At 42.7% G+C, this 14,003-nt stretch overlaps 1 long non-coding RNA gene across 1 annotated transcript in view, besides 3 other annotated features; it reads left to right on the top strand.

Moving 5' to 3' along the window:
• The window catches only part of LOC105369851 (uncharacterized), a 28,850-nt gene extending 17,161 nt beyond the window's left edge, over positions 1–11,689 (top strand). The window contains exon 2 of the long non-coding RNA XR_945115.3: positions 11,159–11,689. This is a non-coding gene — a long non-coding RNA (uncharacterized LOC105369851). The remainder of the gene's footprint in view (positions 1–11,158) is intronic.
• Positions 10,442–11,641: an enhancer, noted in NCBI's record as "P300/CBP strongly-dependent group 1 enhancer chr12:77029947-77031146 (GRCh37/hg19 assembly coordinates)". NCBI's record gives its function as "activates an origin of replication core promoter dependent on BRD2, BRD4, P300/CBP, MED14 and CDK7 cofactors, with strong dependence on P300/CBP, by STARR-seq in HCT116 cells {active_cell/tissue: HCT116}" and the evidence as "EXISTENCE:reporter gene assay evidence [ECO:0000049][PMID:35650434]".
• Positions 12,430–13,082: an enhancer, noted in NCBI's record as "H3K27ac-H3K4me1 hESC enhancer chr12:77028506-77029158 (GRCh37/hg19 assembly coordinates)". NCBI's record gives its function as "activates a minimal SCP1, AML or CMV promoter by ChIP-STARR-seq in naive H9 embryonic stem cells {active_cell/tissue: H9 hESC(naive)}" and the evidence as "EXISTENCE:reporter gene assay evidence [ECO:0000049][PMID:30033119]".
• Positions 13,083–13,736: an enhancer, noted in NCBI's record as "NANOG-H3K27ac-H3K4me1 hESC enhancer chr12:77027852-77028505 (GRCh37/hg19 assembly coordinates)". NCBI's record gives its function as "activates a minimal SCP1, AML or CMV promoter by ChIP-STARR-seq in naive H9 embryonic stem cells {active_cell/tissue: H9 hESC(naive)}" and the evidence as "EXISTENCE:reporter gene assay evidence [ECO:0000049][PMID:30033119]".

Raw genomic sequence — 14,003 nt, 5'->3', positions numbered from 1 at the left:
GAAGAACTTCCTAACAATTAAAAATCCTCAAAAATAATAGGCCACTTAGTAAAGTAAGTTTTTCATTACTAAAGTATTCAAAAGAAGTAAATATGATTGAATTAGGATTATTGCATCAGGAAGGAAATTGGGACTCCATTTATATACATTATAATGTGAACAAAGCTTTCTAGAGATGGACAAAGCTGCAGTCCTGCTAACATTCACCAGGCATGGAGCAAGGTGCTTTACATTCCTTGACTCATTCAACTCTAACAGTCAGCATAGGAGGTAGGCATATTCTTCTGAATGTCAGCTCAGGATTATTATTATTTTTTAACTTGAAAAAGAAAAACATCTAAGAGGTAAAATTCAAATGAAGGTGTTTCAGGCCCCAAAGTTTAGATATTTTCATCTGTAAAATGGAGTTAATAATATTTACTTATAAGTACTTACAAGGCAAGTACTTATAAGTAAGTATTTATAAAGTGGTTTTTAGAACTTCAAAAGATAATATATGTCAAGTATATATGTAAAGTTATGAAGGATAGTGATATTCTAAGCATTTTACATGAATTAACTAATTTCATCCTCACAACGTTTGAGTTAAGTAATAGTATTACTTAACTATTACTTAACACAATAATCTTTGTGTATGCAAGATTTCTGTCCCCACCAGGTATGGTGGCTTGCACCTGTAATCTGTAATCCCAGCTACTTGGGAGGCTGAAGCAGGAGGATCCTTTGAGGCCAGAAGTTCAAGACCAGCCTGGGCAACATAGTGAGACTCCATCTCTTAAAAAAAGTTAAAAATAAAAGTAAAAGATTTCTCTCCCTAACAAGACAGTGACTGCTCAGAGGTAATAATGGAACTGCCTTTATTACTAGCACTAAATGAAACTGCCTTTATTACTAAAACAAATTGCTAGTACCAGGTCTGGGCACAGCATAACACAGTTGTTACCAGCATGAGCTCTGGAGTCAGACCATCTGGGTTCAAATCCAGTTTGCAGTTGTGTAGCCTTGGGCAAGCTATTCAACCTCTTAGTGTCTCTGTTTTCCCATCTGTTAAATGAGGATGAGTAAAATAATAAAATAAAAGAACAAGACTTGACAGTATCTATCCCTGTCAGTTTGACTCAGAGCTAACTTGTTCTGCTTCTGCTGTCTTTTAAAAAAAATTCATATTATTATGTTTAATCTCTAAAGACTTTTCTTTCATGGTTGGTCGCTGACAATGTACTCCAAGGAAGCAACCAGAACCACCCACTCTCAGGGAAGCATTTTCAACTGCTGCTTTGAGTATTGCTAAAGTTTCTCTGTCCTACAGTATACTCTAAGATAGCAATTCACAAGCTGAGATTTATGACTTGCTAAGTTCAAAGATACAAACAAAATATTTATTTTTGACATTTCTCTTGAGAAGTCACCTGAATCACTCACATCTTTCTCTTGGTATTTAAAAGGGGTAGTTTTCAGTAATCATATTGTTAAGGGATCCTTGGGGTGTTGCTTCACCAGCCAGAAACCTCTATGGCTGGTGGCACCTTTGCCTGAGTTTTGCTCTGGCCCACTGGACTCATTCTGCCCACTTGGCCTAGCAGGCTGCACTAGGCTCATGCTGCTGGTCTGGATCCCATGCATGCCAAGGCCAAGCCAGGCATGGAGCAGCAAAGGGTGTGTGAGCGAGTGTGGGGTCTGACCACTGCACATGACCAGTCATGCTGGCTGCGTTGGGGCGAGCAGCTCCAGGTGCTAGCATGGGTGTAGGCTCCCTGCCAGGCTGCAGCTAGAACAGGTGTACCATAAGCAGCTTCCACAGCTCACATTGGGGAATGTGGTGGTGCCTAAAAGCTTGGAGACACCAGGAACTGCAGAGCCCTAAAGAGGGTGTCATAGCCCTGGCTTGGGGATTTCCTAGGTCTGGGCTCCCTGAAGGGTTGCAGCTCTTCTCTCCTCTCTTCTGGTTGCCCTCAATGTGGTGAGTAAGGGGTGTGTTTCAGCCCTGTTTGTGTTACAGCTCTTTTAGCCCCACCATTCAGGGGGTCCCAAGTTCTTGTCCTGTGTCCAGGAAGAATGAGGTACACAGACAAGTGGAGGGTGAGCAAGATGAAGAGGAGCTTTATTGAGCAATAGAGCAGCTCGGAGGAGACCCAAAGTGGGCAGCCCCTCTCCATAGCCAGGGTGTCCCAGTGAGTGTTCAGCTCTTAGCAGAGAGGGTAGCTCCTCTCTGCAGGCAGGGCATCTTGACAAGTGTTCAGCTCTCAGCAGAGGGGGTAGCTTCTCTCTGCAGCTGGTGGTCCTGTCATCCCTCTAGTCTGGCTCAGTCCAGAGCTTTTATGGGCCTCAGAGAGAGGAAGTGCACACTGATTGGTCCATGAGCAACCACGGGCAGGCCCGGAAAAGGCATCACAAGTTTCCACTCTGGTCCATGGGACCAGCAGCTCATCCCCCAGGCACAGGCCCTCCCCAGCTTGAAGGTGGGGCTTCACCAGGGACCCGCCCCCTTCTGCCCAGGAGCCTGTCTGCCTCTTGCCGCCATTCATGATGCCCAGGCTGTTTGTGCAAAGGGGCACCTGCAGGCCAGCGCAGAGCTGCCCTCAGCACCCCCCCAGCCTCTCTCCTGTGATCACTGGCACCCAAAGTCCAGAGGGGCCCAAAGCGGCAGGGGGCTGGCATGTCAGCACTGCCCTGAGCATGTGCACACCCGGCCAGATTGCAACAGTGCCCAGGCTCAGCCTCAACTTTGCTCCATGACCGGATTGGGTGCTGAGAGCAGAGAGAAGACAAGCAGTGGGAGCAGGCACTTCCAAGCCTGCAGGGGATTGGGGGACCTTCCCGGAGCCCTGAGAGTGCAGAGATGCCTGGGTCCACAGCCAGGGCTTGAGCAGCTGCAGCTGCAGCTGCACCTGGGAGGGCAGGACTCCTGCCTGCTCCTGGCTCTCAAGAGCACAGGGGTGCCTGGGTTGCAGCTGCAGCTTGGGCAGCTGCAGTTGTGCCTGGGAAACTCCCACCCTGCCAGTAGACTAAATCACTGGGGGTGCGAGGAAATTTGGACCTCAGTAGCCAGGTTCAAATTGTTCACTGTTTCTGAAAAGTGGAATTCACCTGTGAGCAATATTCTCCTTAGAAACTCTCCTTTTAGAACTCTCCTTTTAGGAAAATCCATTTATTTATTTATTTATTTATAAAACAGCCAGAAATTATTCAGGTAAATTTTGTAAGTCAAGTGCTTACTCCCTTTTACTTAAGCTGCCAGTGGCTGTTTTGCTAAAGCATTGTTTCATCAATAAACTCTGGGCTTTACTTAATAACTCTGTCAGTGGTGCAGAAGTCCAGAAGTTTTATAGGACTTGGTAGGAATTATTATAGTAAAAAGCATTTTATAGCAATTTCCTCTCTTATTTAAAAGTAATATAGACCATGAATACTGGATTCTGCTAGAAGAAAAAGGGGAAATCTTAGGTTGGTTGGTTTTATGTTCACTGTATCATTTTTACTTCTCTTACAAATCTTTAGATAAACAGAATTAAGAAGAAAACCTTTTCTGTAAGCCAGAGAAATATTTTAGTATTTGTTCTGGTATATTTTATTTCCTCCTTTATTTATTTATTCATTTATTTATTTATTTATTTAGAGATGGAGTCTCGCTCTGTTGCCCAGGCTGGAGTGCAGAGGCACCATCTCAGATCACTGCAACCTCTGACTCCCAGGTTCAAGCAATTCTCCTGCCTCAGCCTCCCAATTAGCTGGGATTACAGGTGCCCACCACCACACCCAGCTTATTTTTTTTGTATTTTTAGTAGAGATGGGGTTTCACCATGTTGGCCAGGCTGGTCTCTAACTCCTGGCCTCAAGTGATTTGCCTGCCTCAGCCTCCAAAAGTGCTGGGATTACAGGCATGAGCCACCGTGCCCAGCTATTAATTATATTTTAGACAGGCTCTCACTCTGTCACCCAGGCTGGAGTGCAGTGGCATAATCATAGCTTACTGCAGCCTTGAACTCCTGGGCTCAAATGATCCTTCTGCTTCAGCCTCCTGAGTAGCTGGGATTACAAGTGTGAAACATTGTGCCAAGAACCTCATGTATTTTTCATCCAGTAATACAGCTTCTAAAAATCCATTCTAAGAAACCAGTTGTAGATAGAATCAAATATTTACATACCAAGTGCATTTATCACAGCTCTATAAGAAGAGCAGAATCCCTAGCAACTTATGTCTCTGAGGTGTCTCACTGCTCTGCTATAAATTTCAATGTTGACAACCACCTTGAATGGTAATTTGGAGAGCATTTTAGGCAGGGAGTCAAAAACACTGGCTCAAGTACTTGTTCTAACCCTTTATCTCCTGTCTGACTCTAGAAAATTACTTTTTTTGAGTCTGTTATTTAACATTTTATTTGCAACATAAAATACGATTTAAGATCATGGACTTTAGAGGTAGACTGCCAAGCCTCAGCTTCACTATGTACTAGCTAATGGAACTTGGGTAAATTACTATACCTCTGTGCCTCAATTTTCCCAACTATAAGATGGCGATAGTAATACTTCCTACCGTAAAAAGTTGTTTTGAGGATTAAACAAATTATCATCTGTAAGGCTGGCTTATTAGTGGTTGGCATTCAGCAATCACTATCTTGCTTTAAGTGCTAAATGAGCCTGCATAATGGGAATAATAAACCCTTTTTCACCAAACTGATGGAAGGATGACATGGGAGCATATATGTGAGAGTACTACAGAAACTACAACATACAGGCTGGGCGCGGTGGCTCACGCCTGTAGTCCCAGCATTTTGGGAGGCCGAGGCGGGTGGATCACGAGGTCAGGAGATCAAGACCATCCTGGCTAACATGGTGAAACCCTGTCTCTACCAAAAATACAAAAAATTAGCCGGGCATGGTGGCAGGCGCCTGTAGTCCCAGCTACTCGGGAGGCTGAGCAGAAGAATGGCGTGAACCCGGGAGGCGGAGCTGGCAGTGAGCGGAGATTGTGCCACTGCACTCCAGCCTGGGCGACAGAGCAGAGCGAGACTCCGTCTCAAAAAAAAAAAAAAAAAAGAAAAAAGAAAAAAAGAAACTACAACACACTATGCAAATGTCATGCCGTTATTAGAGAGGTAGTTGGAAGTATATGTCAATCATCTTACAATTCTATGGTAAAAATATTCTACCTCCTAGAAACATATGTATGAGTAGTAATTGATTTAGCAGACCAGAGAATTGAAATTTAAGTCTGCATTGGGGGAGAAAAGGTCAGAGTAAAGGAGGGCTGCATGGAAAGGACTAATAAGAAGCAAACTGTAGAATCACAGAAGAGCTCAGGTAGGGATACAATTGGGCCTAAAACAGAAGGATTGGTTAAAAATCTTGAAAAGGAGTAGGGAGATGACCCACTTCCCCATCTCTTCATCCCTCTCTACGTGGCTACCCGTTCCCTCCCCTGACAGAAAAGTGGAAATTTGTTCTCTCAAATGGTTGTATCAGAAAGGCTGTGATCTCAGGAACACTATTTTTAAAGGAATATTTAGAGAATAGTCTAAAGGTCTTCAACATTAAAAAATAAGATGGTAGAAATGAAAAATCAAAAGGAAGCTTGAATATACGGTCAAGTGTATTTCCCAGAAAGAACAAAAAGATAAACAGATGCCAGATGCAGTGACTCATGCCTGTCATCCCAGCACTTTGGGAGGCCAAGGGGGCAGATCACTTGCGGCCAGGAGTTCAAGACCAGCCTGGGCAACATAGCAAAATAAGCCAGGCATGGTGGTGCACACCTAGAGTCCCAGCTACTCAGGAGGCTGAGGCAGGAGGATTCCTTGAGCCCAGAGGTTTGAGGCTGCAGTGAACTATGATTGCACCATTACACTTCAGCCTGGGCAACAGAGTGAGACCCTGTCTTAAAAACAAACAAACAAAAAAAACCCAAAACACACAACACACACACACACACACGAACAAGACAAGAAAACAAAACACGCACACACACAAACAAGACAAACAGATGCAATATGTAAGGAAGAGCATTAGAGACGTACAAACCAATTTCCCAGAATTTAAGGACCTGAGTTTTCTGATGAAAACATTTCAGTTACAGTCCGGTCAAAAAACTAAACCAAAGAACAACATCATGAAATTTCAAAAGACAAAAGATTTTAAAAGACATATCTATGAAAACTCCTTGAAAGGAAAAATTAGTCTGGGCACAGTGGCTCACGCCTGTAATCCCAACACTTTGGGAGGCTGAGGCAGGCAGATTGCTTGAGCCCAGGGGTTTGAGACCAGCCTGGGCAACACAGGGAGACCCCATCTCTACAAATAATACAAAATTAACTAGGAATGGTGGCACATGCCTGTAGTCTCAGCTACTCGGGAGGCTGAGGTGGAAGGATTGCTTGAGCCCAGGAGGTCAAGGCTGCAGTGAGCTGAGATCTTGACACTGCACTCTAGCCTGGGGGACAGAGTGAGACCCTGTCAAAAAAAAAAAAAGAAGGAAAGTGAGAAAGAAGAAAAGAAAGAAAGACAGAGAGAAAGAAAGAAAAGGAAAGAAAGAAAGAAAGAAAAGAAAGAAAGAAAGGGAAAGAAAGAAGAGAGAGAGGGAGGGAAAAGAAAAGGAAAGAAGGAAAGAAAGAGAAAAGCAAAGCAAGGTCACAAAGTATCAGGAATCAAAATGGGATCAAAATTCCTAGTAGCAACCACTGGAAACTAGATGATAATTGATTAAAACTTCCAAATTCTAAAAGAAGATGATTTCTAAGTAAAATTCTCTGTCTGCTTAAACTCTACATAAAGTAAAAAGCTAAAGATTTTTTCAGACAAGCAAGGACTCAAATAATTTACCTTCCATATCTGCTTCTCAGAAAGCTCCTGGGAGTTATTGGGCTCCACTAAAATAAGAGAGTAAACTGAGAAAGAGGAAAATGGATATCCAGCACCAGAGGAGGCCAGGGGACATCCCATGATGGTGGCAAAGGTCAGAATCTGGGTAGCAGGTCGGACAGCAACCAGGCCAGGCTGGAGCAGGAGGCAGGAGCAACAACGCCAAGAAAAAATGGGACTGATAGATGGTCAGATGTATTTGGCCATGTCAGAGGGGTTTTATAGACAAAAGTTGATGCAGGAAGTTTAAGGTAGTATATATGTGGATCAGATATGTACTTATGGTCATAATCATGTAATTATTTAATACTAATTTAATTCAATACTGATTGTATAACTATATTTGAGGCATGCAGATTGGAAAAGCACGCATGTATGTAAGTGGAGAGTGTGGGGAGAGAAACAGACTTAAATCCTCATCTTTCTTTTTTTTTGAGATGAAGTTTTGTTCTTGTTGCCCAGGCTGGAGCTCAGTGGCACGATCTCGGCTCACTGCAACCTCTGCCTCCCGGGTTCAAGCAATTGTCCTGCCTCAGCCTCCTTAGTAGCTGGGATTACAGGCACATGCCACCATGCCCGGCTAATTTTTGTATATTTAGTAGAGATGGGGTTTCACCATGTTGACCAGGCTGGTCTTGAACTTCTGACCTCAGGTGATCCACCCACCTCGGCCTCCCAGAGTGCTGGGATTACAGGTATGAGCCACCATGCCCCACTTAAATCCTCATCTTTCATCATAGGAGATTGTTCAGAATCAATTGAGAGATGGTAATAAGAGTCAGATGGATAAAGATCAAAATATCAGCTTCAAGGTTTGGGTGTGGGAAGGTTTTGGGGGAAGTGATTCTAGGAAGTGGAGTGAGGGTATGGGAAAGAGAGACTGGAAAAGGAGAAAAGCCATTAAGAATGTGTCAGTGAGCTCAGTCCCACTGGAGACCTTCTGAGAAACAGGGTGGAACACGCCTTTGCATTGTCCCACCAGAGGACAGGGAGGCTGGTCGACTTGTTGAAGATGGCGTACGCAAACGCCTCTGCATTTCTCATTCTGCTTATACAACTAAGAGCTCCTGTCGGGCCAAAGAAAGCCCTGCTGTGGTGAAGTAAAGAGATGCTAGAGCTTAAGGTGGGAGGCTGTCAGCAGGGTGGAAGCTGTCACACCACAGCAGGTGAGCTTACAGTTAGAGGTAGGTGGGGGCCTGGGAGGGGAGCATTAATAGCTTCTGTCAAACAAATGCTGGGTTGGAGCACAGAGTGTGATCTTCCTAATATTTCAACTATGAGTTAAGCAGACTTAGCCCCTTCATCACTAACCTATTGCACAGAACAGACACTGCCTCAATATGCTCACCAAATGGGAGAGCCAAATTGAAGGCACCTTGCCTCAGGCAGGTTCATCCAAGAGAAAGAAGAGGCTGAGGCAGGCCTGCTCACTAGCCAAGTAAGTCCCTTCTTCCTGGAGGAGGGAGTGAGAAATGGAGAGAGAGGCCCAAAGAGTTATTTTTGCTAACATTGCCCCAAGTGGAAACATAAGACCAGGGAAATGAAGGGCTCCCATAGAAACCAGCATGTCAAAGCAGATACTGAAATTTTAAAAACAACAATACAAAACAGAAAACAGCAGTATTCACGTGTTATTTCAGATTACCAAGGTATATACCACCAAAATAGCTAAGATATTTCCAAAGTGGTTGCTATGGTCTGAATATTTGTGTCCCTCCAAAATTCATATGTTGAAATCTAATCTCCAATGTGTTGATATTAAGAGGTGGGATCTTTGGGAGGTGGTTAGGTCACGAAGGCAGAGCCCTAGTGAATGTAATTAGTGCCCTTATAAAAGTGGTGTGAGGGAGCTTGTTTCCCTCTTTGCCCTTCCACTAAGTGAGGGCGGAGCTAGAAGGTGCCATCTATGAGGAAATGGACCCTCACCAGATGCTGAGTCTGCCAGCACCCTGAGCTTGGACTCTCCAGCCTCCAGAACTGTGCAATACATTTCTGTTGTTTATAAATTATCCAGTCGAAGGTACTTTGTTAGAGCAGTTTGAATAGACTAAAACAGCAGTTATCTGTGGAAGAATGGGAATTAGAATGGGAGGAAGAGTAAAGAGGACTGCTATTTTTCACTATAAACCTAATCATAGTATTTGACTATTTTAATCTGCATAAATGTATTATTTTCATTAAAATGAATTTATTTATTTATTGAGACAAGGTCTCGCTCTGTTGCCCAGGCTGGAGTGTGGTGGTGCGATCATGGCCCACTGCATCCTCAACCTCTTGGGCTCATTGGATTCCCCCACCTCAGTTTCCAGAGTAGCTGAGACTACAGGCATACATCACCATGCCCTGCTAATTTCTATATATTTTTTGTAGAGATGGAGTTTTGCCATGTTGCCCAGACAGTTCTTGAACTCCTGGGCTCGAGGAATATGCCCACCTCAGCCTTCCAAAGTGTTGAGACTACAGGTGTGAGCCACTGCACCTGGCCTATTTTCATAAAAATTTGAATATTAAATTAGAAACAATTCTATAACAGACCCACCACATTAAGTGGGAAAAAATGTTTTAAAAATCAGCATGGCAAACTAATCCTAATTAACAAAAATTCTACATGAACAGTTGTTACATTTATAATCAAGAAAATAAAATACACACTAAAAATACATTTAAAAAATAGAGCAGAGATGAGTTGTATTCAGTTATTTCTACATATTAAGCAACTATTAGCTATTTGAAATTATGTCAGTAGTTAATTATAGGAAGCAACAGTGAAAATAAATTTGAGAACACGTGTACTTATACCATGCTGATCCAAACATCTCTGCTTGATTGAAATGTCTAGGGCACATTGGGATATAAATAATGCTAGCAAGCCACTACTTTGTGTGGTTAAAACAAGAGGATCAGAATATGATTTCATGAATCACATGGGTTATTGACATACAAACAGATTTTTTTTACAATGCTTAAAGAGGGGGAGAATAATGACAACAAATCTCACAGGAATGCACTCCATAAATGAAGTACATTAGTCACATAGTGAACGAGTTCTGATTTTCTTTAGAATCCAATTATTAGAATTTAGTTACTTAGGGGCTGGGTGCAGTGGCTTATGCCTGTAACCCCAGTATTTTGGGAGGCCAAGGCGGGTGGATCACCTGAGGTCAGGAGTTCGAGACCAGCATGACCAATATGGTGAAACCCCACCTCTACTAAAAATACGAAAAAATCAGCTGGGCTTGGTGGCTTGTGCCTGTAGTCCCAGCTGCTCGGGAGGCTGAAACAGGAAAATTGCTTGAACCCAGGAGGTGGAGGTGGCAGTGAGCCAAGATCATGCCACTGCACTCCAGCCTGGGCAACAGAGCAGGACTGCGTCTCAAAAAAAAAAAAAAAAAAAAAAAAAGGAATATAATTACTTAGGATGGAAGCAGGCCTCTGCGGATGTAAAGGATGTAAAGTCTAATAGAAGTTTGAGGTATACCTTTACAGGGGAGGCTTTCAGAAGAGATGATTTGACCAACATGGCGGAAATCCGTGGTGACACACAAGGCCCCTCACTGCTAGTGAGTGATGCTGGTGTTGGTGGGGAGGTTGGCAGAGAGTAGCTCTGGCACCCATCACCTAAGCTCTCAATCTTTCTGTCAAAATCTTGGGTTCGGCTGGGCGTGGTGGCTCATGCCTGCAATCCCAGCACTTTGGGAGGCCAAGGTGGGCAAGTCGCTTGAGCCCAGGAGTTTGACACCAGCCTGGCAAACATGGTGAAACCTCGTCTCTACAAAAAAATACAAAATTTAGCCAGGCGTGGCAGCATGTGCCTATAGTCCAAGCTACCTGGGAGGCTGAAGGGGGAGGATTACGTAAGCCCAAGAGGTAGAGGCTGCAGTGAGCCATGATCGTGCCACTCTGCTCCAGCCTGGGCAACAGAATGAGACCCTATGTCAAAAAAAATTGTTCTTAATTAAAATTCTTGGGTTTATATGTATTTTGGAGTCCAGTAGTTGAGGCCAATAACTCATATATCTAGTCTGATAAGGTATTGAAACCGTCCCTGTAAACTTTATAAATTAATCATGGAAGAAGTGAGAGGAAGAAACAAAAATATACCAAGCTTGCAGCACATGCAGCATTAATCGCTAGGTCAGCCTGCTCTCTGACCCACTCCCTCATAGTTGTTTTGTGCCTCTTGCCTTAGAATCACATAGACCCTGTTACAAGATTATAGTTCCCCTTAACTGCTCTATAGAGAACAATTTAAACATTATAAAATGTTAAGTTTTCCATTTGAGGTTTTCATTTGCTCTTTCAGGTTTTGTATACCAGTGAAACTACTGACATCACCTGGTCTGAAGGACCCCATGAAGAGATGACTCACCAAAGAATGCAGTTTCCACATCCTGATGATTTCATCCCCATTACCTGACAAAACAATGACCCCAATTTCCCAGCCCCTCACCCTCCATGACCCCCTGAAAAACGTCAGCTAGAAACTTCTCGGAGAGATGGATTTAAGGGTCTCCTCCCATCCCCTTGCTTGGTGCCCTGTGATCATTACACTCTTTCTCTGCTGCAAACCCTGCTATCTCTGTACCTGTCTGTCACTGCACAGCAGGCATATGAATCTGTTGGTCCTATAACATCGCAACGTAACATTCCCATGTGGAGGGGGATTACACTCCATGTTCTTATCACAGCAAAACATATGTCACACGTAGCAATCTATGTAAGTGTTTGGAATCATTTCAGAGCTACATAACAGGCACCATTGTGAAATGCAGGAAACTCTGAATTTCCAGTTTTGAAAAAATTGTATTGGAGCTCTGTCTCTGCTACCCACTAACTGTGATTTTGGTTCCTTAATATCTCTGAACCTTGCTTTTCCTCTGTAAAAAGGTGATAACAACACCAACCTCATGGGATTACTGTCTGGATTAAATGACATAATGTACAAAAGCACTGTAAATATCTCTGAATACATAGGCACATATTTGAAAGTTGTTCCTTAAATGTGAAATTTTAAAACCAGGAAGCTAATTATAGATAAAATATTGAAAGAAAAGTTATAAAGGAACATTTAAAAACTAAAATTTCATTAGAAAGATACATTTTAGCTTAAGGTATATTTGAAGATAAATATTACCATCACTGGGTGCCAGCATACTTATAACAATCTTACATTTTTCACCTTACAGTTTTTTAATTTAATTATAAAAGTAACACATACTTGTCATAGGAAATTAGGAAAATACAGAAACATGAAAAGGAGAAAAATCCCATCTCACAGAGATAAGTCCTTTCAACTTTTTAATATATTTCTTCCAGTTAGCATTCTGGCTTTCAGCTTTTCTCTCCCTCCCTCTCAAAACATTTAGTGTAAATTATGTCATTAAGGCCAGGTGTGGTGGCTTATGCCTGTAATTCCAGCACTTCGGGAGGCCAAGGTAGGAAGATCTTGGGAACAAGTGTTTGAGATCAGCCTGGGCAAGAGAGTGAGACCGTTTCTACAGAAATTTTTTAAAAATATTAGCTGGACATGGTGGCATGTGCTTATAATCCTAGCTGCTTGGGAGGCTGAGATGAGAGGTTGACTTGAGCCCAGGAATTTGAGGCTGCTGTGAGCTATGATCATGCCACTGCACTCAAAGCCTGGGCTGTAGAGTAAGACTCTCTGTCTAAAAAATAATAATAATAAAAAGTATATCACTAATATATCTTTCAAAAGTAATAGTAACTTAACACTTATTATTGTTAGATAGTTTCCAACTTTTGAATACCATTACAATGACCTTGGGTTCCATAAGTGCATACCCGAATTGGTACATTCTGAATAAATCATATTTGCCTACTTACTCATTTGTCTCCCCAGCTAGACAATAAGCTTTGTGAGGAACACTTCCTTTTTTGCCATTGTTATGTAGTGCCTAATATCTTGCTTGGCACACAGTATCTCTACATAAAAATATGTGCTGTGGGCCGGGCGCGGTGGCTCATGCCTGTAATCCCAGCACTTTGGAAGGCCGAGGCGGGTGGATCATCTGAGGTCGGGAGTTCGAGACCAGCCTGACCAACATGGAGAAACCCCGTCTCTACTAAAAATACAAAATTAGCCGGGCATGGTGGCACAAACCTGTACTCCCAGCTACTCGGGGGGCTGAGGCAGGAGAATCGCTTAAACCCGGGAGGCGGAAGTTGCAGTGAGCCGAGATCACGCCACTGCGCTCCAGCCTGGGCAATGACAGCAAAACTCTGTCTTAAAAAAAAAAAAAGTGCAGGTATGAATGAACAAAAGAAAGAGTGAATACTAGTATTTCCCCCACAGAACTCGAGGGTTTTTCCAAGACAGCTTCACAAAATGAGACAACATGTGTAAAAGTTATTTGTGTGTTTTCATCTTTATTATATTTGAATCAGTATTTTTTTTAGTGTTTTTGTCGTTGCCATAAACTGGAGCAATAAGAACGAGATATTTGAGAGGTAGATGTGGGCGTTGTTGGGGGCAAGGTATGGGAGAGACCATTGTGACAGAATGGTAACCTCTTCTCCTAGACACTGGAGAGCAGGCTCTGTTTAGAGCCCTTTGTCTGCCTCTGCAAGGACAAAGCTTTCATCTTAATAGAATCCTCTGCTGGCAGCTCAGTAGCTGTTTCAAAGCAGGAGGGAAAGAGGAAAAAGGATGGTTCTGGGGGAGGGGAAATTATAGGAGGAAAACATTTTTTCCCATTTTCTACTCAAAGTATGAGTTAGAAATACACAAAAGGGGTATATGGAAAGAAATGCAGAGTGCAGCATCGACTACCTCTGTGTATAAAAAAAATGAATATTTGCTGAAATCTAGATATAATGTGTCATTCCAGAGTAGCACACTGAAACCACTTTAGAGGTGAGAAAGTGTTGGAGGCCATGGGTAATTATAGAAGGAGTGCTGTATTAGGGTAATTTCTGGTTTAAAAGGACACAAAGCAACCTTTTGGGGATGAAAATATTTTATATCTTGTTTGGAGCGGTTACATGGATGCATACAGTTGTTGAAATTCTTCGAACTGAATACTTATCTCTTTGCGTTTTACTGAATGTAAATGATATCTCAATTTTTTAAATTGTTAAATAACAGAGTTTTTTTCTGATTGCAAAAATAACATGCATTCATTCTAGAA

Source organism: Homo sapiens, chromosome 12, assembly GCF_000001405.40.
Source record: "Homo sapiens chromosome 12, GRCh38.p14 Primary Assembly".
Taxonomy (NCBI): Eukaryota; Metazoa; Chordata; class Mammalia; order Primates; family Hominidae; genus Homo; species Homo sapiens.
The sequence above is the reverse complement of the archived record's forward strand: the minus strand, read 5'-3'. Positions and strand labels throughout refer to the sequence as shown.